Below are 25,323 nucleotides of genomic sequence, written 5' to 3'. Positions count from 1 at the left end.
AAGATATGAACCAGGTTGGAAGGGATTCCTACTCCAACAAACAAAATGCACAGATAAATTATTCCTTAAGATTTATTTCTGTCCAAACTTAGGTGGGACTTCTTGTTCTAAATTCAGTTCCCTGATCTCAGGGTAAGTTGTCTGTTTTCCCAAAGTTGCCTTTTGTTGTTTCTGGTAAAAATGTGATGCAGACGCCCAAGTTCTGGGGCTCCACTGTGAGTGCACGCTATGAGAAGGACGGGAGAGGAAGCGGCTCAGCAGCTGGGGGCGGCCAGAGCCCAGGTGTGGCGGAGTGCGGGTCTGTTAGGAGGCACAGCACCATCCCCAGGACGCACCAACGCCATGGGCGGAGGGCTGCTGTCTTCTTCTGCGAGTGAGAGCAGACTAAAGCCTGGTGAGGTGATCACATTTCTCTGTCTGACTCCCATTCCAGAATATACTCTTGAATGAGCAAGAAGGAGGTCGGAGGAAAGCCTCATGCCTGTAGCTGCCTGCGGGCAGCGAGGAGCGTCTTCCCGGGCTGCTGAGCTGTGATGCCTTCCAGCAGCCACGTGGCTCCTCCTCCCCTGGCCATCCCAGGGGATTCCTTGGGTTTCATCCACGTCCGGGAGCTCTCGTGGCACCGAGCCCACCAGCCGGTTCTGAGCTGGAGGTCCCGTCGCAGCTGGGTAGCCGAGGCATCCGAAACCCTTCCGTGGGAGAGAGAGGACCCACAGTCTGCATCTCCACAGAGAGGGTCCTGTGTTCTGACGCTTCGAAACCGCCTCTGAAACTTGCACCATTGACAAGGGAGGAGGTCTTGGCAGAGACTCCTGGGCCATGTACTTTTGAATAATTGCCAGTTTTCATTGGCAAGAGTATTATCCCATGACATTTACATGCATGTGTGTGATGATTTGTGAGACAATGTGTTTATATAATTAAATAATCGTACATGCATATATGTATGTTTATGCCTTTTTGTGATGAATCTCTGCTCATTTCCTTTTCTGAGGTTTGGGTAGATGTCCCATGCTGCCTTTTTGATTCTGGACACTTAGTCTGTGAACCCAGAGATTGTCAGCTGGATGACAGGAACGCGAAGGAATACCCCTCACTGCTGCACAGCAAGGCTGCCTCCCACAAGGACCATGGCCCTGCTGTCACTGCCTCATCTTGTGGGTGAGTCCTAAACCTATGGACTGGCGGGCTGTGGACAGGTGAGACCTTCTGTGGGCTGAGCTGGTGTGGTGGCCTCTCAAGTAGCCAAGGCCCCACCCTTCCTGTCTCCTGTACCTTCATCCCGTCCAGGAAGAGCCACAGCCGTGGCTCTGAGGCCTGGAAGCCATACACAGCTCCACACGCGGGTATCAGTGACTCCAAGTCTCAGTGCTACTGGGCACTGGCGTTATTTCTCACCTTTCAAAATCCTTGAGAGCCTTTGTGTATTTCACTTCAAATAGAGACTAATTTCTAACCTGTGTTGACTGTGGGGTGGCCCTGAGCCATGTGCTTGGTCCTGTGGAAAGCATCTGGGTCCCGAGTGGACATTTCTTCATTTATGAAGACAAGGGCCATGGCATGGTGAGGGTGGCAGCCTGGCACCCCTGTGACCACTGCCCCGGGCTCCTTTCTCTCTGTTGACCTGCTGGCTCGCACCTCCTGACCTGTGACACCTTCCAATTGTTATCTAATCAATTCAGCTGAAATTAAAAAGCTGTATTTGTATTTGCTCTAACACCCTTGGCGCAGTGTTGGAGGCTGTGACCTTTCTATATTGGCGTCTGGCTGCTGACGGCGCACTGCAGCCAGATTGCTTTGCTAATAAATAATGACGCACCCTCTGAGGTCAGGGAGGGCTGCTGGGCCAAGCAGGGCCTGCCCCCACCAAGAGCCCGCCTCCTGAGAGGTCCTTGAATGGAAATTGCCGCTCACACTTGCTCAGGAAGCACACTTTATTTTCTTTACTTTCAGTGCATTCATCTGATTTGCAAGAGGTTGATTTTTATTTTGTTTTTATTGTGGTAAAATGCACATAACAGAAAAATGACCATTTGAACCAGTTTCAGGTATACACTGCCATGGCATTAAATTCATTCAAAATATTGGGTTAACCATCACCACTATTTCCAGAACTTTTTCATGATCCCAAACAAAAACTTTATATCCATTAAACAATAAGTCCCCACCTGCTCCTTCCACAGCCCCCGGAAGTCTGTGTTCTGCCTCTGGCTCTGAGAATTGGCCCTCTGACTATTTCCTACATGTGGACTCATACATCTGACCTTCTGTTCCGGCTTCTTTCACTTAGCGTAGCACTGCAGGGTTCATCCATGTTTAGGCATGAATCAGTGCTTCCTACGCGGGAGTTGACTTTTAGCATCTTCACTCTTTATGCCACATACAAATAAGTTAAGAATTTGGAAAACATTTCAGAATCAAACTAAAACACCCATAGAAAGCACACTTCTCTGAAAATAGAAAGAAGTCTCACCTGCTTTGAAACTCAGAAAATTAAAAAGGCCACTTGAAAGAAATGCCTGAAAATTAACATTGAGTTTGCTCTACTGAGTATTTCAAAGACTCAGCAATTGATCATCTAGCATTGTGTTGGAATACAGTGAATCATGGCTTTGTGAAACTGCTTCACTTTACAAACTCGAGCAAGCATTTAATTATAGGATACAAGAAAATGAAAATACACCTAAATTATTATAATACATGAGGATGATAAGTAGCCAATTTAAAAATATATGTATGATTTGGTATTTATTTTAAACTTAGAAAATTTATGAAAAAAGTGAGAGCCTGATAGAATTCACATGTTGACTAGATACTTTGTTTCTGATTTCATGTTTTCTGGTGCCTATCCCAAACCAGTTGCTGCATTCACACTGCCTCAAGACACTACAGCCCAATCTCTGAGGTCCCAGAAGATCTAGGAAAGAAGTGGGTGTGAAGCCACAGGAACAGAGGCCAGATCTGCCTGCTCTGCCCCTCTCTGAGGTCTCAGGGTTAAACCAAGGATCTGGTACTGGCAGGTGAGGTTTGAATATAACAACTGAAGGGACTGAGAAGGCAGGTGGCCTAGGGAGGTGCCTCTGTGTGGAGCCATCCTAAAAATCTTGGCACCTGGAAGAGACAGTACCACTCAGAGGGCATCCTGATGGCTGGCCACAGTGACCCAAGGCACACATCTTCAGCATCCATCCCCCGAGTTTGGCCCCTTTCTGCACCATGCCCATCAACTCCTTAGCCTGAATTATGTGATCCTCAAGGCTCTCCTAGTACTTAGTGTTCTAGTTTGTCTCTTCCTGGGGTACATATCAAGACAATGATAATAACTTAGTGATAATGATGGTGATGACAATGAGTTGATGTTGATGATGATGATGATAGTGATGTGATGGTAATGGTGATGGTGATGATGAGCATGGTGATAATAATGATGGTGATGGTGATAAGAATGAGGATGATGATGATGGTGATAGTATTGATGATAATTATGATGATGGTGATGGTGATGATAATGATGATGGTGATGGTGATGATGATAGGGATGCTAATCATGGGCATGGTGATTGCAATGATGATGACGGTGATGGTGATGGTGATAATGATGATGATGATGGTGACGGTGATGATAATTATGGTGATGATGATAGGGATGATGATGATAGTGATGGTTAGGATAATGGTGGTGATAGTGATGGTAATGGTGGTGATGGAGATAATAATGATGATAGTGATGGTGTGGTGATGACAATGATGTTGATGGTGATGATAATGATAATGATGATGATTGTGATGGTGTTGATGATGATCGTGATAGTGAAGATGATGATAATGACAGTGGTGATGGTGATAATGGTGATGATAATGATGGTTATGGTAATGGTAATGTTAATGGTGGTGATGGTGTGGTGATGACAATGATGATGATGTTGATAGTGATTATAGGATGATGATTATGGTGATGGTGGTGATGGTGATAATGGTGACAATGGTAAGAGAAATAACTTCAATTTATTGAATTCCTACTAGATACTGGGCACTGTAAGATTTCTCTGCATTCTTTGCTCAAAGTAAAAAGCAGCACTGTTATCCCTGCATGAGGACACAGGTCAGCAAGATGAGGCTGTTAGTGGGAGTGGCGGGCACCTACTCCCACTAACACCTAGTGGGAGTGGCACCTAGTGGGAGTGGCAGAACTGGCTGACACTTGCTATCAGGTGTCACTTGCTATCTACAAAGCTTTTTCTCTTCCCAGTGTTTGATGTTGGTTGATAGAAAAACCCCCTTGTGAGCTTCTCCCTCTCTTCTTTAAAACACTCAAGATGTGCCAATTGGTGAGAGCGGTACAATCTTGCAACCACAGATTCTACATTTGACCTATTACATAAGGAGATTTCCTCTTTTAAAGGTACGTTTCTCACCTATAGTGTATTCTCTCCAGGTGCTGTCTAAACATGGGTTACTTTCCTATCACCCCGATCCGCATCTCTAACTTCTTTCTGAGTGCCACAGCTCTAGTTAACTCATTTTGCTTATACTTCTTATGGAGAACCAACAGCTGTAGAATTCAAAGGGAGCCAAAATTTCAGGTGGGATGTATAAAGATTGTAGGTTATTAAGACAGATTGAAATGGAGGGTTTTCTATTGCCTTGTCTCACATTATTTTTAATAAGTGGACACTAAGAATTCTTTATTTTAGGCCAATATCTCTTGTAAATTTGGAAAATAATTGAAAAAAGTGGATTATAAAGAAGCCTAGAAAAAATAGAGAAAGAATTAAATGTCCATGAAGAGACAATTATTTACTTTCATGCTTCATTAAAGCAAATAAAATTTTCAAAGCACTTTCCACATTTGATTACAGTGTCAAAATACAACTTAAGACATTTTCTTCACTTGAACATTACATGACACCCTCACCCCAGCTAATGTATGCACATAATTGTGTAGATAAGCAAAAGAAGTAAGTTATTATGTTTTAATGGGACAACTGACTTATTTCTATTATTTCACCAGAAGATTTCATTCAAAATTACACGAAAATACAAATCTTCAATTATCATGTTAAATACTTCTTGATGGAGAATAATACTTTATTTTTTTTGAAAATCTGATACCTGTATTTTTATGTGCATTTACTACACATATAAAATTGACTTTTCTCACTCCATACCACTGACTTTTATTATGACTTTAGATGAGTGACAACTCTAGTTGAATGCCAGCTGATTAGATTATCAGCAGTAAGTATAAAAAAATACAGTGAGGTCTGATGCTATGAAGAAGCAGAGGTGAAGAACACAGAGGGTAACAGATGTTCCCAAAGTATGAAAAGTAGAGCATAAAGAAAAGATTATTGGAAGTGATAGCCATTCTCTATGGCTGGTTGACCTGCCGAATCTCCTTAGCCACTATATTCAGGACACCGGGATGCTGAGTTGCAAGGTGGAAGGACGGTTATGTTTCTATAGCACTTTACCAGGCTGCAAAGTGACCAGACTACTCTTCAGCTTCTAAGGTATTAGATGGCAGAAGGCTTCTCTTGTATCCCCACAGAGCTCAGGAAAATGATGAACACGTAATAGATAATTCTTATATGACCTCTGATTTTTAATTTGCCTCAAAATGATGATATTTAGAAGTCTGCATGCAACAAAACTATGTCATTTTCCTTAAACCTATGCACATTATCACGGTGTGGAAGGCTGGCACATGCTTTTATAAATGCAGAACATCAACTGGCCCTTCTCCTTCTGTCTTTGCTGGTTTCACAAGTGGGCCCTCAAAGAATTTTCTGATTTTTTAACAATCTCTTCCATAAATATCAAAATATTATTTTTATCCTGAACATTCAGTAACTTTACATCATAGAAAAGTATTGAATAAAGTGGACGTTTTGGCAAATTAAAAATATCCCTATTCATTTAGGAATTTGGCAGGAGAAATCTTACTTTGTACATTAAAATTTCCTCCCTGAGTTTCCACCGAAAAGAAAATATGCTCTTTCTCGTTTTTGTTTTTGTTTTTCTTACTCCAGGAAAACAAAAATTTATTTATTATTTATTTATTTATTTATTGAAAATATCTGTGTATTTCACTTTGTCCTGCTGTTGAAAGGACACTTTAAAGCCTGTCATGTCAGATAAAAGCTCTGGGCTTGCCCACGACAGAGTGAAGAGACTGGTTTGCCTATAATGTTGAAGCAAATATTTGCAGGGAAAGAATTGAGAGATGAGGCTGAAAACGACATTAGAGTGGCTTCTCTTTCAACGTGGATGAGTGAAAACCTAACACCAGCTATAAATTCTGGATAAACTACAGAGACAGCTGTCTGGACCCATTTGGAGACTGAACAATGCCCAGGATATAATCCAAAATTACTCAACATAAGAAGACTCAGGAAAATATGACCCAGTATAAAGGGAAAAGCAAAAAACAGATCCCAAACCCAAGACGATTCTGAGTTTGGGCATCTTCAAAAAGGGCTTCAAAACTCTACTGTTACTATGCTCATAAGGATAAAGAAAAATATTTTTGTGATTAATACAAAGATAGAAAATTTTACAAGTAAAATTGAAGATATCTATAAAATTTTATAGATACTTTATAATTTTAAAAAATCTGAAATTTAGGCCGGGCGCGGTGGCTCACGCCTGTAATCCCAGCACTTTGGGAGGCCGAGGCGGGTGGATCACGAGGTCAGGAGATAGAGACCATCCTGGCTAACACGGTGAAACCCCGTCTCTACTAAAAATACAAAAAATTAGCCGGGCGAGGTGGCGGGCGCCTGTAGTCCCAGCTACTCGGGAGGCTGAGGCAGGAGAATGGCGTGAACCCCAGGGGGCAGAGCCTGCAGTGAGCCGAGATTGCGCCACTGCGCTCCAGCCTGGGCGACAGCGAGACTCCGTCTCAAAAAAAAAAAAAATCTGAAATTTAAAAAATATCACCAGAAATTGAAAGACTCATTGGCTTTGAAAATAGATCAATAAAGTCATCTAATATAAATAAGAGAGAACTACAGGTAACTGGAATCCCAGAAGAGGAGGAAAGAGAGAATGGAAGGGAAAAATAAATATTTGAAATTTAACTGAAAATTAGGGATAATGACTTGATTTTTTGTGTATAATCTCAGATGCTGAAATGGAAGGTCTTTTAGGAATTTTGAACTCTGGGGTATTTTAGAATAATAGCCAGACACACACTAAGTAAGGAAGACCACAGAGACATAGAGACCATGGGGAAGCTGTTGCAGTTTTCTATATGATAATGGTAAGGCAAAAACTAGCACATTGTTGATGAAAATTGAGATAAAGACACTATTTGAGAGACTCTTCCTATTGAGTGTCAGGACAGGATTGCTGTTAAGGGAATGAACTAGTTAAGAATAACTTGGAAGCTTCTGCAGTGGGTGAATGGAGAATGACACTCCTACATGAAATTGTGCATGTTATGGGCTAGCCCATGCCATGGAGTAGACAGGACCATAGGAAAGTGTTGCTTGGAAATGCCCTCATCTCACTCTCCTACCTCATTTACAAAATAGAGCTCTTTAGAACCTTATTTTGCATTTCTAGAACTTAACTGTGTGCTCAAAGGATGGTTTGTTCTCACTAGTGATGGTTCAAATAAGGTGATGTGGCTCTAAAGATAATGACTGTATCCTTGGGCAAGACTTAAACAGTTAATTGTGGACAAGGGTCACTCAAGCTATTGAGCTTCCATATTCTGTAACACAGCCAAGCTAGAGAGGACAGGAAGGGAATGGACCTTGCAGCTTATGTGACAGGGCATACCAGCTTCAGGATGGTTACCTTTTGAGGCAAACAGAGTGTTATGTGGTCAGCACACCTGGGCCAGAATGTAGGCGGCAGAGTGTCTAGAAGGACACTAGAGAAATGGCAGTGAAGTATCCAGGGGCCAGGGGGTGAATGGTCCTCCCATGAGTCTGGGCCAGTCTGAGCAGTACAGGGAACTGGAGACAGATGTCAAGGACATGTTTTCAGAGGCTGTCTCTCAGGTTGTGTCACAGAAAAAGAGACTCTGACCAGAGCTGGAGGGGGCAGTTCCATGGGTGAAAGCAGAAAGGACTTGAGGTTCAATTGAGCTGAGAATGGGAGGGGAGAAGTTTAGGTCCACAGGAAAGCAAAGGCCCAGGAGCATGGGCTCTGGTGGGATGGAGAAGGCAACAGCTTGAATCAACAGGAGTGACTGTTGATGACCTGTGAATGGAAAACGTCACCAAGGAAGGCCAAAAGAATTTGGGGCTCTCTGTGAATCTGAACATTCAGTAGCAGTTAACATTGCAAGGTTACAGTGCTGAGCATGTTTACCCGTCCACTTCCAACAAGAATGAGGGACCACCCCCACCCACCACCAGGAAGGTTTCTGGTGCCCTGCCAGGGCCCCAAAGTGAAGTGCTCACCCCTCAGTACTAACTGGAAAAGGCCCAGCTGAGAGCCTGAGGGAGGTGACTGCATGCCCCAGCCTTCTGCAGCACCCACACCTCATGTCCTGCTTGAGTGGCGGTGGGCTGACTGCCGAGGTTATTGCGGCGGCAGGCTCTGAAGCCAAGGAGGGTCCCTCGGAGCAGGTGGATATGCCAGGGCACTTCCACTCAGAGGCCCACAGTTTGCACAGGGATCTCCCACCCACCCTCACTGGGATGCGTTTCCGGCTGCTGAGGGGTCCGAACTGCCTTTTCCAAGGAGGTTTAAGGAACCCTCTGTCTTTAGATTCCTCCAGCACCTGACCAGCCTCCAAGTGTCAAATCAAAATCAGAGAAGCAAACAAACCATGCATGTTGCTCACATCCACTTTTGGGTCATTTTTCTTCAGTCTCCTGTGTTGGTTTCCCTATGCATGCCTTTGCCCCCCAAAACCATTCAGATGTAGTTACTTTGATGAGAACAGTCAGAAAATCAAATGCAGTCAGGATTTTAAAATGATCCTTCTACCTACCATAAACAGGTGTAAATACAAGCACATTCAGAGTGCTACACAGGTGTATATTTTGATTTTTAGAATTTACATTTGAGGGCTGGGCACAGTGGCTCACACCTGTAATCCCAGAACTTTGGAAGGCTGAGGCAGGTGGATCACTTGAGGTCAGGAGTTTGAAACCAGCCTGGCCAACACGGTGAAACCTCATCTCTACTAAAAATAAAATTAGCCAGATGTGGTGACGTACTCCTGTAGTCTCAGCTATTTGGGAGGCTGAGGCATGAGAATCACTTGAACCCAGGAGGTGGAGTTTGCAGTCAGCCATGATTGTGCCACTGCACTCCAGCCTGAGCAACAGAGTGAGATTCTGTCTCAAAAAAAAAAAAGAATTTACATTTGAGTTTTGATTCTGTTTAACACAATTTTATTCTATCCAATTTGGGGGAGTGTATTAATGTCATAAAGCAAGATATTGGTGACAAAGTGGGGTGAATGCATGACTCAGGGAAGCCAGTTAGGACAGTCCCCTAATGCTGTGCTGCTTATCCTCTGAGGGTCTAAAACGTGTGAGGATTGACATGTGGTCTCTGGAGCACAGGCAATAGGAACAGGTGCACCCAGGCAGCAGTGCACATCCTGCCTTGGGCTTTCTAACAGCAAGTTGAATTGTTCATATTTGGATTAATATGTGCCTGAGATGCATTTTATTAGAAATATTTTCATCTTCTGTGGTAGATCCATCAAATTGAAGTTAATTGACCAAACAATGCTAATGATTAGTTATTCCCAATTGCTACTTCACATATTAAGAATTAGGTGAATGGAAAGCTCTGCAAAAAGCATTATTATGAATGAGGAAACACTTAATAATAAAATATGGCCAATCTGATTTGCAATACCCATCATCTCACCATCTCACCAACAAATGTTCATTAAATGTTCAAAAGAACACACTTCATTGTGGGTTGTGTATTAAGAATGTGCTGTTCTCCAGACAAAGGTGAGGCAGAGAAGTGGAAAAATTTCCCGTGAGCACTCAGAAAAGAATGAGAACATTGAGTTTAATGATGGAGAATTATAAGCAAAGTCTGCATGTAGAGGAGAAAAAGTGCAAGAATAAAAATTGCCTTGTGTTGGAAAGAAATTTGTTATTGCCCTGACGAGATTAACTGCGGTAATTGGCACTGTTTCTTTTTTTTAACATATTGTGCAGCCCTGCAGAGGCGGTGGTAATAAATAATGTGCACTTAGCTGCTCCATTGGTCATTCGTAGCCGTATCACAGCCACCTCCCCCATTCAGGGAAGATAAATGTGATTTAAATTAATAGCCAGTCCTAAATAACTCCTCAGCTGGTAAACGGCCCATTTATCAGGCCCAGACAGGCAGTGTCCTTTGATTCATGTCCCCCCCTTACAATGTGAAGGGTGCATACAAAAATTGTTATTACTTTTTAATAAAGTGTAGCAGTCAGTCTTCAGTCATTTATCAGAAACGGTGGCATTCTGACAAACAGAAATATCTTAGCAGTGGATGAATGAGAGGGATAAAGGACACATTTCTCAACAAAAATAATCACTGCCTAAATAATCTCATAAAAGTCAGTTTTTAAGTACCTTGAAATAAATGTATTCAGAAAGATACAGCCCTTGCGTATTGTAGAACTGAAACCTAAACAAACTATTTTAATATTCACCTTCGCAGAGAGGAATGGCTTTGTTATTGTGGCCACCTCTTTGTGTGGTAAGGATTCTAATGCATGCAGAACCAGTTGCAGACTACAGTCGCAAAAGAGCCACCTACACCCTTCCACCACCAACGGGGAGTAAGCAGAAATCTCATGACTGTGCAGCAGAGACCTGCAGGCAGAAATCAAATGCTAGGAACAGGTGATGAGAATGGAGAATGTGTGACAACTTCCCACATTTTTAACACTGAAACTCTGTTGTTATTTTTAATATTCTCCTCTTTAATATTTTTCACAACAGCAGTGCACTTGATTAGATCTTGATTTTTTTTGCAGCTGACGACTCTCAGATTCCCATGCTTTTGAAAATATACTTGCAATTACCCACATAATTGGATTGGTCAGCAAAAATTACGAAGGAAGCTCAAAGCCTTCTCTCCACTGAAATCCTTTCTCTCTTAATTAAATAACAAGTACAGAGTCTCCAGTGTCAGCAGGTCGTCCTTTCAAAGACGTCGGGCAGGTCAGAAGGCTGCTGAATGCCGATGGCTTCCTCAGCCATCTCCTTTGTGCCCCTGGATATCAGGCAAAACTTGAGGCCTCCCCACCGCTGCTTTTTGCTACACATAACCACTGCAGTGGCAGGAACCTTGGCCAAATCGACTTTTGTAGGGCACACAGCAACCACAACCAACGAGTTAGCAACATCAGAAAGGCTTAGGAGTGGAATGTTCTTTGCAATTTGTAGCGCTTGAACTGTGATACCATTTCCAAGCCTCACTAAAGTGTGACTTTCCAATGAATTGACATATCTTAAAGAAGGGATGCCTGGAAATCAATTTAACTCTTAAGAGAAACTTGAGTGTCTCCCCTTCCTACACTGTCTTGCTCCTTTTCTTACGTCAGTCTAGATATAAAGGATTTTACCTCTCTGGATTAGTTCAAATTTTTACATTTTAATTCCTTAAAAGATATTGAAATCTCTATTTGATAGGCATTGTTAAATGAATTAACATTAATGAATGTGTCAGGAGGTCAGAACAGTGTCTGGCAAATACCACACAATTGTTGGACATCACTCTTGAGGCTAATGCACTCACGCACTGCTAATGTAAGAAAATGGAGCAAAAGGTGATGTCGATGAAATAAACAAAAGTAAAAATAATTGAAAAGGTCATGCATACCCTTCAGAGGATTTGGGGTTTTAAAACAAATTTCCTCTGGCTGATGTTGCCAAAAGCCATAACCAGGCAGACTGAGCAACTTGAGCCATGTCACCGTTTTCATAGATGTTTATTCCACTGAAGAGTATGGCTTCATTCTGGATACAGGGGTCACTTAGTCTGTCCTTAGTCATTTGTGTATCCTGTGAATTTTCAGGTCTACGATATCAGCTCACCACACACAAAAAATGCCAAGGTTGGCACTACAACTCAGTGTCACCAAAACAAAAATAGGCATTTTGGCTGCAATGGCAAAAAAAAAAAAAATTGTGTTTTAGTAATGCATATATTCTCACTCCTAAACTTGACTAAAAAAATATGTTATGATCTCCCATGGTTCAGGCTCCATTTACAAGGAAGGGCTGCATTTTGCAACTTTTCTAGATGTGGGTGTTCCTGGGAAGCCAGTGGCTCAATCCAGTAATAAATATTAAAAGTTTCCTTCCAGCTGCATTAGTGTGAGTCCTGGATCTTCAGAAGCAGCATCACCTTGCAATATATGGATTGTCAGATCAGGCACACATTTGCAACATGTTCTGCTATTTCTGTGGAAGAATATGATTCTTAGCTATTCAATTAAGGGGAGTTTTAAGGGAAAGAGTTCTTGTGGGGGGGAAAAGGAACAGCTTGCTGCTGGTGCTGTCAGAGCTATATTTGATTTCTTTTTCTAAAACCAGTTTCTTCATATTTTCATTCGAATTATATTTTCTGTCTAGGGATTAGTGTTTTAATTTTTACACCCCAGTCCCTCACTACCGTTGGTTATAGCAAGAGAATCTCTGGCCACCAGTTGGTCTGTTGCACGTAAACAGGATGTGGGAATGAGTCAAGGTGCAGGAGAGCCTGTCCTCTGTCCCTAATGCAGTTCTTAGATGCCTAAATAATGTGAATTTTAAAGACAGAGACACTTTGCTTGCACATTTTCTGGAAAGTGAGCAGGCAGCTCAGCCACCAGTGTTAGACTCAGGGACCTCCTCCATCAGTTCCGTGGTAGAGAATGGAGCACTTCCGAACCCCCCAGAGGATTGGCTGCCCTGCGCTTCCTACACAGGTAATAGTCAATCCATTAACCTTTGCTTCCAGCTTGACCCACAGCCTCACACAGCTCCCACACCCCTCTTTTAATACTTTCCCCTTAATAGTTGCTCACCCGCAGCTGGAAAGGGCAGAGCAGCTCCTTGCGACATCGTCTGTGCCCTACAGTAATAAGCTTTGGCTCCCCTTCTTCCCACCTCCTGCCTCACTCTAGTGTCAGCGACCATTTTTCTTTCTTTCTTTCTTTTTTTTAAAGAAGCTAATCTAAAAAGAGCTGTGGAGGCAGAGGTCATGTTAAACTGTAACGCAAATGTTATTCCTCGATTATCTGGCTGGGGTAAATGTCAACTGCTTGAGGCTAAAGCAATTGGAGAGCGTGTGCGCAGCTTGAGGCTGGGCTGGGGCCTGGGTTGCACTGGCAGCCTTGCTTCCCCAGTTGTTCCCTCCTCGCGTGTGGCCCAGCCTGACCAGCTGGGGCTGGGCCAGGTCGCTGCATTTTCTTCTCACCCTGAACCTTTGCCTGCGTGCACCTGTCTTTAATAAACACCTCTGGTAAGTTAAGGCTGTCCCCTGAATGTCACGCGTCCTCTTGGAGAACAGGATAGCCTTTAATAACAAAGGCTGTGTGTGCTCCACCCCCACACGCATGCTGCATGCAGATACCGGGGTTTTCCTACAGAGGTTAAACGCCAGACACTGAATGTGTTCTGCAGACTAAAAAATATTGGTACACTAAGTTAGAGTAAAGCCTTAATATTTCATACGAACATGTATATTTTACATTCCAAAAAAAAAAGATAGAAAAATAGGGGAATTCGAAAATGTCTGTGTGCCCGGCTAGGCCGCTGATGGATGGGGGAAAAGCTAAAAAGGAGAAGGAGCCAACCCTCTCTTTAGGACAATGAGGTGGGATCCTGCCCTCCAGGGTTGCACCCTGAGCCTGGGCTTCTCCACAGCATCCATTCTCCTCCTCTCCCCTACAAGGTGGGGAAGAAGCTGGCCTTAATCTCAGTGAAGAAAGCTTTCCAGTTAGGGGCCCCGCACTGTCTTGAAGCCCACATTTTTAATGTTCCTGGTGGGGAGGGCACAGAGCACCCCCTTGTTGCCCACAGTCGGCGCTGGGGTGGGAAGGGGAGCTCAGAGCCACCCAGGAGTGCAGAAACGGGAGGAGGATCCCTTCCACCAGTCTGAAGGGAGCCCTGGATAGGGATACATCACAGTCGGTCACCAGTGTGGATGCAGATTTAGGTTTCACTTTTGCTCTCTTTCTTTTTTCTTTCCTTTTTAAATTTATTTTTTGTTCCATTTCCCTGGGTGACAGGTGAATCTTACTACCCTCTAATTTCAAGTGTAGGGATGTATGTATTTGTAATTTAAAGCCAGCAGTGGCAGGTCACATGCTGTCCAAATGACAGGGCACGAATAGCAGCTAATGCCTCTGCTCACCCAGGAGGCGGGCAGCTGGCAGGGCCAGTGCACGGGCCCCTGGGTTCACGGGGAGCCTGAGAAGTGCTCCTGGTGAAAGTGAAGGTGAAGGTGCTCCCCAGATCTCGCTTCAGACCCAGGCTGTCCAGTCGTGGCACTCCCCTGCAGAACCCCTGATGAGGACCCTCTTCAAAGTGGCTTCCCCTTGGCAGAGGTCCTGGAGAATTCTGGAGGAGATAGGCAGGCCCCAGGGAAGACAGTTGTCTGGGGGCAGAAGGCTTACATGTGAGATTAAGAAAACCCACCATGGAGATGATCCCATTCGGCTGCTATGAATCCCCAGATTTCCCCCTTCCAACACATCCCAGACCCTTGGGAACAGCCGGCGAAGGGCCTGCCAGTCCTCCTCACCCTCCCTCGCCATGTTCCATGGGATGACTTCTGGATCTCAGTTACATGGGAACAAAATGGTCTAAACCAGTATTTCTCAGATTATCTGTGGAGAAAGTCCGTGTGTGTGTGTGTGTGTGGTGTGTGTGTGTGTGTGTGTGTGTATGTTTAGTTATTTTCCAACTGATGTGTATGAACACTTTTTTAAAATATTTTTTAAAATTCCTAGTATGAGGAAATTTTACACTCATAAAATTCCATACTCAAATGCATTTTAGTATTAGATTCAACAGACATAAAACTGTCCTGTCCAGTTGTTAAAAAGTACTTTCCAGTGCTTCAGTCCTGTTTCTATGCTCATCTCCTACGAGTCAGTAACAAACAGTTGTCAGAAGAGTTTGCACTCTCCCCAGATGACGTGCATGTCTTTAAGCAAGATTTATTCATCTAGAAAAGACAAGCAAAAACAAGATGCTGGTAGAAAATAATGGTAACCATAAAACCTGTAGTTCACTGAGCGTGCACTGTGCCTCAGCTCTGGCAAAGATGGTTTCCTGTTGAGTCTGCATAAAGCATGAGAATTTTTAAATTGACTGCTGCACTATTTCAGATGCCAAAGCTAAGGCGTAAGGCAGGCTTGCCTGCCCAGGGTGAGTACAGAGTGAGGGCAAAGCAAAGGCACGCTTAGGAGCATGTCCCTGGTCCTGGTCAGTGCCCTCCTGGGGGATGGGAGTCATGGGGGTGGCCCTGTCCCTGGGGGAGCCAGGCCACACAGATGACTGCTTTCCCCAAGAAAAAATCCACAGTTTTCCTTTCCTACTCTTGCACTGGTGTAGACAAGGCATGGTTTACCTAATATTCAAAAGAAAGAATAAAGCGATACATCAAATTTTTTTAATTCAGAATAAAAATTGCACATATATGCCACTATTTTTTAGATGCTGAGATAAATATGGCTTAAATGGAAACTGATGAGTTATGTGTTTCTCTGTTCAGTGAATATTAGATATTTGCACATTAAAATATAGAGGAATAATTTAAATCTAATTCTAGCTCTTTCAAATGTTTAATTGTATTCTAATTTTATGATAATAAATTAAAAGGTTATCATGTGTTGATGTAACATCTTCCTTCAAAAGAATTCCATGCATTTGTTGAAGAAAAAAATGGGCTTTGCTAGCTTCCTATAACATATTTTGGTGAGATCATCATAGATGAATTATTTCCCATAGTAATTAGCATAAAGGGTACTGCCCAGGGACACTGACTATTTTAAAGCATTATTTATATTGCTCTATTTCTAACAGGACTTTGCAGATATTTATGAAACTCCAACATTTGTATTGCTTCTTTTTATCTTTCTGTTCACCCGGCCCTGTTACAGCCTAATTGAAATACAATAATTATAAATGGGCTTAGTTCCTCGATTTAATTTCCTTGCAAGCAGTGTCATTTATTTTTCTTTGGCTTTGTTAACATGCTTTAATTAAAAGATTTAACAAAGCTAAGAAAACAAAATGCCATTGGGGGCATTGCACCCTGGGTTCCTTCTGCAAAACAACACTATTTGGCTGTGTTCAAGTTCGTCTTCTAAAGGGTAAGAGAGGGAAGTCCTCATGTACAGAATGAATAAAGCCACTGCCTTACAAGCCCCATATACGCAGAGCATTGATTAGTTACAGAGGCAGGAACAGCACAGTTACAGAGGCAGGAACGGCACAGAGCTCAGGAGTATGAGCCACCTTTGTAGCTAACACTGCCACAGCCACAATGTATGTCTTTGGGTGGGTAGTTAATTCAACTGAGCCTCCATTTCCTCATCTCTTAAATGGGCGCTGATATCTGTACCAGGCAGCTAGTGTGAGTAATACGTGTGTTATTCTGACAAAGTTCCTATTAGCAGAATTCTCCGGGGCAAGGTGGGTAGTTAATCGCCAGCAAATGTGTTTCCCAAATTTGGATAAATAATTTAATCTACAAAATTAAGTGTATTATTATAATGTCAATAAAACATTTTAAAATATGTTTCTACATCTCTTACAATGCTAATGATCAGCTAATACTAAAAACAATTTTAAGTTGATTTTACAAATATCTTGTCTGAATACAAAATGCCTTACTGCAGTTCTTGATTGTTTAGGTACGTGGCTGGATTTGCTTTGCTCAAGTCTACAAATCAATTTAGAAGCACCCTAATCCTCCCCGGGATGACAAACAAGAAGAAGCAACACAGAACACCAGTGAGAAAACAGCCCTGAGGTCAGGAAACCATGCTAAGTCTGCTACCAATCAGTAACATGAACTTGAAAAGTCACTTAAACTCTGTGGGCTTCAGTCTCCCCTGTGAAATAGGTAGGTGGGACTTGATCAACTTGCAGGAAAGGAAGTCTTTCCAGCACAGAGAAATGGGGGTGGCTTTGCCAGCATAGCCCACACAGCCACGCATCTCATGGTGTTCAACCTTCCAGCACTCAGAATCCCCTTGTTACATGAATACCTGGGTTATCAGCAAAATATGAGCCAATAACTTGCTAATAACAGAAGAGTCACTTTTGAGGTATCAGTCATAAATATGTATGATTGCTTAAAAAGCCATGAGTCACTCAAGATGAGGAACAATGGGAAATAAACATCAATATAAGGCATAGTGTTTGCAATTAAAGCTCCTTTTCTCTAGCTCAGGAAGCAGCCGTCAAATTCAATCTTAGCCAACATACTCATACCTGCAAATGGAATTTAGGCATGCTGCATACTAGCATGGGCTGAGCTTGGGGTTAGGAATCACAAAATAACCATGACTGGCTTGGCTGCACTCACCTCCTTGATCTTGAGCAAGGGCCTTAGCCACTCTGAGTCTCACCTGCATCACCTTTCAATGGACGTGATAAGGTAATAAGCGTTTTGACATTTTCAGAGACAAACAAGATAATATGCGCAAAGATGTTTTGAGAACAGTAATATGCTTTGCAAATGTTAGTCTTTTAGTTAGCATTTTATTTCAAATTGTAAATTATATTATGATTGAAGAAAACTTTTTGGTGGAAGTTGAGCTTGAATTGGGTTCTGAAGGATGACTAAAATTCAGATAAGTAGAGATGACTCTAAGGTGGGGAATTTACTCTGGGGAGTTTGGGGACCAGCCAGGCCCCTGCCTGCGGGGAACAGACACTGGGTGCTGGAAGAAGTGTAAGTGGTGGGTATTAAAGGCAAGCAAGGGTTGGTGGCCTTGGGAGCTGAGTGTGCTTGCTAATACATTAGGTGAGTACCACCATCCCACAGCTGTATGACAACTCCCACTTATACCATGCATTCAATAGTTTACCAATCACATGTTACAAAAAAAAGACCATTTAGGGATAATTACTATCATGAAAAATGCCAGGAATATCTCTAAATATCTCAAAAATGCCCGTGCCACAGTGGCACAGCAGGGGATATTCTACTGTGCTGGTATCCACCTCGTAGCCTTCTGTGCATTGCCACAAGGGGCTCTGAGCACCCAGGAATTTCCAGGTGACATGGACTTCAGTATTTTAAGTGGTATTTGTGAGCAGTCAACATCACGTATCATTTTCCTTTCTATGAATCAGAAAGCAAAGAACATACTGTTGCTACAAAACTTAGGAGGAAAATGCGAACATTTCTATTACTCAACAGTGTGGATACAATATGTGGTCCTAAAAGGGAAGACAGTTAGGTGTGAAAAACATCACCATCCTGATTAGATTCTGGATTCCATGCAAAATGATTTCCTGAAACACATGGATTTGGAAGTTTTTGCAGCATCCATGAAAAGGCACTTGGTAAAACTAACAGCTAACTTATTGAATTTTTTTAAACAATTGAAAGTTACTTGATATTCTTTTGATAGCTTCTACCATTGTCATATACTTTCTATTATTGCACAGATACAGCATGATCTCTTTAATATGCTGTGTTGCCTGATAAATTATGCCACTGTTTGTTGGCTGTGGATGTTGCCTTTTATTCATTTTTTTCATGGTCTCAGGAAGGAAAATGAAACAAAACAAAAGAATGCTCTGATGAAAACAAATTAATTCTAGTTTTATTCATCCAACAAATGTTTATTGAGGGACCAGTTCATGCCAGGTGGTTATGGGTAAAGACTATTTGAGGGCCCTGAGTTTTTCAGGGACAGAAAGGAGGGGCTAAGGCTCAGTACCAAGCCAATAGCCCAGGATTGAAGTGCTGAGAAAGATGGTCACAAAGGTGTGAGCCTTTGTGAGAGAAAAAAACTCAACAGTAAATTTTAATATGGAGAAAATAGGATGCTCCAATTACAGAAAAAAATAAAGTTGACTTTAAAGCAATTTGTTTAAGAAATTGAAAATTGATGCTATCAATAGAATGAAATAATTGGTTAATATAATAGCCTTTGTATGGAATGTGTTAAGTTTATTTATCCATAAGTCATTTTTAGAAAGCCCTTTATGTGCCAAGTGATAAAAAGAAAAAATCAAAGTAAAAATATTAGTCCTCAATTTGTCTAGTGGGCCAGACAAAGTAACTGTAAAAAATAGTAGGATAAGTTGTGTAAAAGCAGTACTTAGAAAAAATTCTACCACAACAAAAGTGATAAAAAATGATACAAAGAAATATAGCAAAAAATACAATCCATTCAAATAGAATAGGAAATGTTCAAATAGTATACATATAATTCATATAAATAAATATGTAATATAAATAAAACATATAAACAAGTACTATAAATATAACTTGTAAAACATATATCTTATTATATTTCATGTTTATAATGCATATCTATATATAATCCATAACAAGAGTAAGAAATAGGAGAGAGAGGACCCAAAAACAGAGGGGAAAAAAACAAACAATAATAAAATGGTAGATAGAAACCCAACCATATTGATAATTACACTAAATGTAAATGGTCTAAAAGGCAGAGATTATCAAATTGCATCTAATTTAAAGATATTCAGTTCCAGGCTCTTTCAGTAAACCCATTTTAATGATAAAAACACAGTAAGTTTGTAAAAATATTTTTTAAAATTCTATTTAGACACTAATTGAAAGAAACGTGGAGTAGCTATATTAAGGTCAAAGCACAATTTGAAACAATAAATATTGCTGAGATAAAAAGGATATTACGTAGTGATAAGCAGGTCAATTTGCCAAGAGGACATAACCATTCTAAGTGTGTCTGCACCTAACAACAGAGATTCAAAATACATAAAGTAAAAACTTATAGAATTTTAAGAAAAAAATTGATAAATCTATAATTATAGTTGGAGACCTCAACATCCCCTTGGCAATTAGACAGAACTAGTATTTAGAGCAAGCAGACAAATGCAGAAATAACTCATGAGGATCTGAACTACATTATCAAAAAACCTGACATAACTGACATTTGAAGATGACTTCATCCAACAATAGTAGGATATATATTCTTTTCAGGTGTACACTGAACATTCACCAAGATACATGATATTCTGCAATGAACCATACAACTAATTTAGAATAATTGAAATTAAACAAAGTGTATCTTAAACCATAATGGAATTAAATTAGAGATCAATAAAATAAATTATTAGGAACCACCCTTAGATATTTGATAAAGAAAAGACTTCTAAGTAATTTGTGGGTCAAAGAGAAAATCATAACAGAGATTAGAAACAAGTTTTTAAATAAATAAAAAAATTTTTAAAATATTAAAGTTTGTGGGATGCAGCTAACACCTACATAAAAGAAAGTTTGTAGCATTAAAATGTTTCTATTCAAAAAGGAGAATATGTCAAATCCATGATCTAAGCTTCTAGTAAATTAAAACCAAAGCAAGCAGGAAGAAGAAACTAACAATAAGACCAGAATATGGTGGAATTGAAAACAGAAAAATAATAGAAATAAAATATTTTTTAAAAAAGACAAATAAAATTGACAAATCTCTGGCCAGATTGGCTAAGAATAAGAAAGAATTACCAGTACAGGAATAAAAGGGTGGCATTACTATAAATCCTACTAAAATTAAAAGGATAATAAGGAAATTTAACAATTTATTCATAAACTTGACAATTTATATAAATGAAATATATAAATTCCTTGAAAAATGCATGCTACAAAAGCTGATTCCAGAAGAAACAGATAACTTAAATAATCACATTGTGTTAAAGAGACATTGGTTTTGTATTTGACAACATTCCTACAAAGAAAACTCCATGCCCATATTAGACCAAACATTTAAGGAAGAAAAACTACTGATTGGGCACAAACTTCTCTAGACAATTGGAAGGAGGGATCAATTCACAATTCAACTCATGTGGCTGGCATTACCTGATACAAACACCAGAGAAAGACATTACTCTGAAATTATAGACCAATATTACTCATGAATATAGATGCAAAAACCCTCCACAAAGTTTAAGCAAGTCAAATCTATCAAGATAGAAAGAGAATAATAAAACAAGGTCAAATGACATTTATTCCAGGAATGCAAAGCTGGTTCAACATTCAAAAATCAATTCATGTAATTCATCATATTCACAGACTGAAAAAGAAAAACCATTTCAATCATAAGACAAAATCCAGTGACTAATTCTGTTAAAAAACTCTCAGCAAATTTCTTAACCTTAGGGATGCCTTAATCTATCAGATGTCTTATTAATGCCATCTTTAAAAAATTCTTCAGCTAACATTATACTTAATAATGCTTTCTCCCTAAGATTGAGAACAGACAAGAATGTCTACAACCTTTACTCCTTTTCAACATTGTACTCAAGGTTCTAGCAAGTGTAGAAGATCAAGGAATAGAAGCAAGACATTCAAAAATAAAATAAAGAAATAAATTAGTTCTATTCCCAAAGTGAAGGAGAAAATTGTATAAGCCATAGAGACAGGTGAATGCTTTCCAATGGAAGGAAAACCAGAGCTGAGATTAGAAAGCAGGGTTGAGATTTGTTATCAGACCACAGGAGAGAAACAACCTTTAAGTGGATAAAAGAACAAGGAGAGATCCTGGCGTATTCAGGATCTGAGATGATTGCAGAGTCCAGTTCCTGTGGAAGAGGGAGTGGTGGGGAAGAGGTGCCACAGCTGGACAGGGTCCTTCCTGCATGAGCACTGCAGGCTCTGGACCATGTGTGGCAGATGCAAGACCATGGCATGTGGGGGAGAGTGAGGGTGGCCCCTGGGGTGCTGGTCCTGATTTTCTTGACACAGAATGTGCTCTTTTGGGTAGTTTTTTCCCCCTTTTCTGAATTTCTTCCCAGTTTTTAAAAATCAAGAAATTTCACACCAAATAGTGGGATTTCTAGTAGATGGAAGGAGAAGTGAGTTTACATCTCTGCATGAATAGAGTCCACTGGCAGGTGCCGGGAAATGCATTTCCCGTAACCAGATGACACCAGCTGCTGTTCCCTGTGGAACTCTGCACTGAGTGTGGGGTGTGGGCAGATTGGAGTGGCTGGAGGCTGGATGCAAGGGCCAGGAGGCCTGGGAAATGATGAGCCTGGACACTGCGTGGGTGCAGTTGAGGAGGCAGGTGAAGAGACCCCAGGAGCCAGATTCACCACGTGGTGCTGGCTGCCAGGAGAAGAGTGATGAGGTACGCTGGGCTGACCTCAGGGTTCAGGGTTTGAGGTTGTTGCTCGCACTGATCCTCGTGACATTGCTGTCACCATCTTCACTTCTAACCACTCTCCTCACTTCTAACACATATTTTTAATACAAATTTTCATCATTAAAATAATTAACTTGCCATGCTCTTGCAAATACAGTACAGCTGTTAAAGAGGAGAATGGTTGTATTTGTAGGGTAGAGAAAGCTTTGTTGGATAACTGTAGACCACGGTTTCCATGGGATGATGTAGAAGTGGTATAGAGTGAAGAGATACTGAAGCAAAGCTCTATGTGGACACCTGGCATTTCCACCGTAGCTCAAGAACACAGAAAATCCTTCTCCCTTTTACAGTAATAACCAATGGAAAGCTCACTCTGTGCCTGCCAATTTTCTAAGTATGATATATGTTTTAACTCTTTTAGTTCTCACAATTGCTGTGTCATTATTCCCATTTTCCAGACGAAGGAATGGGGTCCAGAGTGTTGAAATTGCTTGCCCGGAGAAGGAGAAAGTGCCCCACAGAGCTAGAGTTGAACACAGGCCATCTGAACCCTGAGCCTTAGCTCCTGACTGCCGCAAGCATTGTTTTGATGCTATGCTTTGGAGAATGTACTTTTAGGGCAAGATCCATCAAACTAATTCAATGTCTTTGTCTAATTTTCATAGAGCAAAGATGGTTCGTTTTCTGTTTCTTGAAATTATTTCATTAGAGTTAATGATCTTTCATGTGCAGTGGCACGATCTTGGCTCACTGCAACCTCTGCCTCCTGAATTCAAGTAATTCTCTTGCCTCAGCCTCCTGAGTAGTTGGGGTTACAGGTGCCCACCACCACACCTAGCTAATTTTTGTATTTTTAGTAGAGACAAGGTTTTGCCATGTTGACTAGGCTGGCCTCCAACTCCTGACCTCAGGTGATCCGCCTGCCTCAGCCTCCCAAAGTGCTGGGATTAAAGGCATGAGCCACTGCTCCCAATCCCATGTAATTTTTTTTTAAACAGCTGTTTCAGTTTTTTGTTGTTGTTGTTGTTTGTTTATTTATTTGTTTTTTGTCATTAGTTTTAACAAGATCAGTTTTTCCTGGAGTCAAGTTTGCTGTTACAAAATTTATCAGAAAGATTTCACTATTTGGCCATGTTTTAGTCAATGATAAATTTTAAGGTATGATTTTATCCAATGTCAGTTCTGTTTTTCTTGGTTATTAACATCTATAATGTTTATTATGATTTGCCTTATTTCTTACTTAATACATTAGAAAATTCGGAGCAGTTCTTCCCATGGATCTCAGATTTCCTCTGACGAGCAACGGGTGAAGCGTCTTAACCTCAGGGTTGAATGAAGTCTCTAGGCATGAGGGCAGAATCATGGGTCACAGCTCTGTTTTCAGCCTTAGACTTCCATAGGCCATCTTCCCCTGTTAGTTGTGTTAGTTTTCTTTTGTATGCTCCCTCCAATTCCTTAGAAGACTTTTGTTTTATTTTGTTTTAAATGCAAGATAGGGGATCAAAAGGCTCGCGAGTCATTACAACATATGGAAGAAAACCTTAAATTAAGAGCACTGAAAACCAAACAACCAATGTACACTCGGCATTCTGAGAAGACCTCTTCTCTCTCCGGAAATTTCCCTCCTTTTTTAAATTTTATTTTATTCTTTGGAGACTGAATCTGACTTTGTAGCCCAGGCTGGAGTGTAGTGGCGCAATCTTGGCTCACTGCAGCCTCTGCCTCCCGGGTGCAAGTGATTCTCCCGCCTCCGCCTCTGGAGTAGCTGGGATTACAGGCGTGCACCACCACGCCCGGCGAATTTTTGTATTTTTAGCAGAGATGGGGGTTTCCCTATGTTGGCCAGGCTGGTCTTGAACTCCTAACTTCAAGTGATCCTCCTGCCTCGGCCTCCCAAAGTGCTGGGATTACAGGTGTGAGCCACCACGCCCAGCCAGAAACTTCCCTTCTCCCTCCCCTTTCCCCAGAGTTTGCTCAGGGCCCTGGAGCACCAGCCCCACTCACACTTAGCAACACTCATATTTAGTGCTCTTCTCATCCTTTTAAATATACCTGCTTGATTCTAAATTAAATATGCGAAAAATTGGGGTTGCAGATCAATTAACTTGTATATGTCTTTAAAAAATTGTGAAGAATACATGGCTCTCCTCAGAATAGCCCCTCCCAGATCTCTCCATTGGCAGGTTGTCCCGTGCAGACAATATGAAGATGAAGATGACGATTATGATGATGGGCGCCTAATAGCATTTCCTGCTCCCAAGCAGCTTTCGGAAGCTTGCTTTGAGTTCTTGACCTTTACGAAAAAGCAAACAGTTGTATGCTTAGGACAGGTTTTTCAGTGTGTTTAAGGCTTGTGATGACATGTTATTAGAGTATGCTTTTTTCAGGTGGCCAGGACCAGAGATAGTGAATGGGGCTTACTGTCTGAGCGCCTGAGGAAATCCAAGGGCAGCCAGCCTCCCAGAAGGCGTCCAGCCTGGCGCTGGAGCAGACGAGAGGTCCTGTGTTGTTGCTAAAACTCCCCAGCAGGACGGGAGACGCCGCGGCCCTCGTTCAGTCCTCTAGTCGGGGCGGCACCTTCTGCTCAGCTTTGGAGACGCTACTCAGTTCTTTCTGTTCTGCCCCCACCTGTCTATGATGCTCAAGTGCGCGAAGCTTCTCTCTGCTCTATTTATCTTAAATGAACTCAGCTCTTGGTGCAGCATCCATCCCAGCCGTGCATTAGGAACTTCCTTCTCTCTCTCGCGTTGCTCAGGAAGCTTGGGGATGGGTCTTTGTCGTTCAAAGCCCCTTGGGGAGTTGTGTCTGGTTTTCAGCTGCTCATGCCAGGGCCTCATGCTCTATCCCAAAGCTGGGCCTCTGCCGCTGGCCATTCTGCCTCCTGGTGAGTGACTAAGCCAACAGGAGTGCCACTGGCAAGCCCAAAGCAGTGACACTTAGCATTTTGCTCTGTCCCATGCATGCACCAGCGATTCTGGAGCCCTGGTTCCTTGGGGGGCTGTTGGGACTGACTGGCAGGTCTCTGCTGCAGGAGG

General features: G+C 41.7%; 1 long non-coding RNA gene across 1 annotated transcript; it reads left to right on the top strand.

Moving 5' to 3' along the window:
* Positions 1-12,654: 12,654 nt before the first annotated feature.
* On the top strand, positions 12,655-17,339 carry LOC124901167 (uncharacterized). The gene is made up of 2 exons (XR_007059106.1): positions 12,655-12,895; positions 16,835-17,339. It is a non-coding gene; the product is annotated as an uncharacterized LOC124901167 (long non-coding RNA).
* Positions 17,340-25,323: the final 7,984 nt, after the last annotated feature.

The sequence above is a fragment of the Homo sapiens genome, chromosome 5, assembly GCF_000001405.40.
Source record: "Homo sapiens chromosome 5, GRCh38.p14 Primary Assembly".
NCBI classification, from domain to species: domain Eukaryota; kingdom Metazoa; phylum Chordata; class Mammalia; order Primates; family Hominidae; genus Homo; species Homo sapiens.
This window is presented reverse-complemented; position numbering and strand designations above follow the sequence as displayed.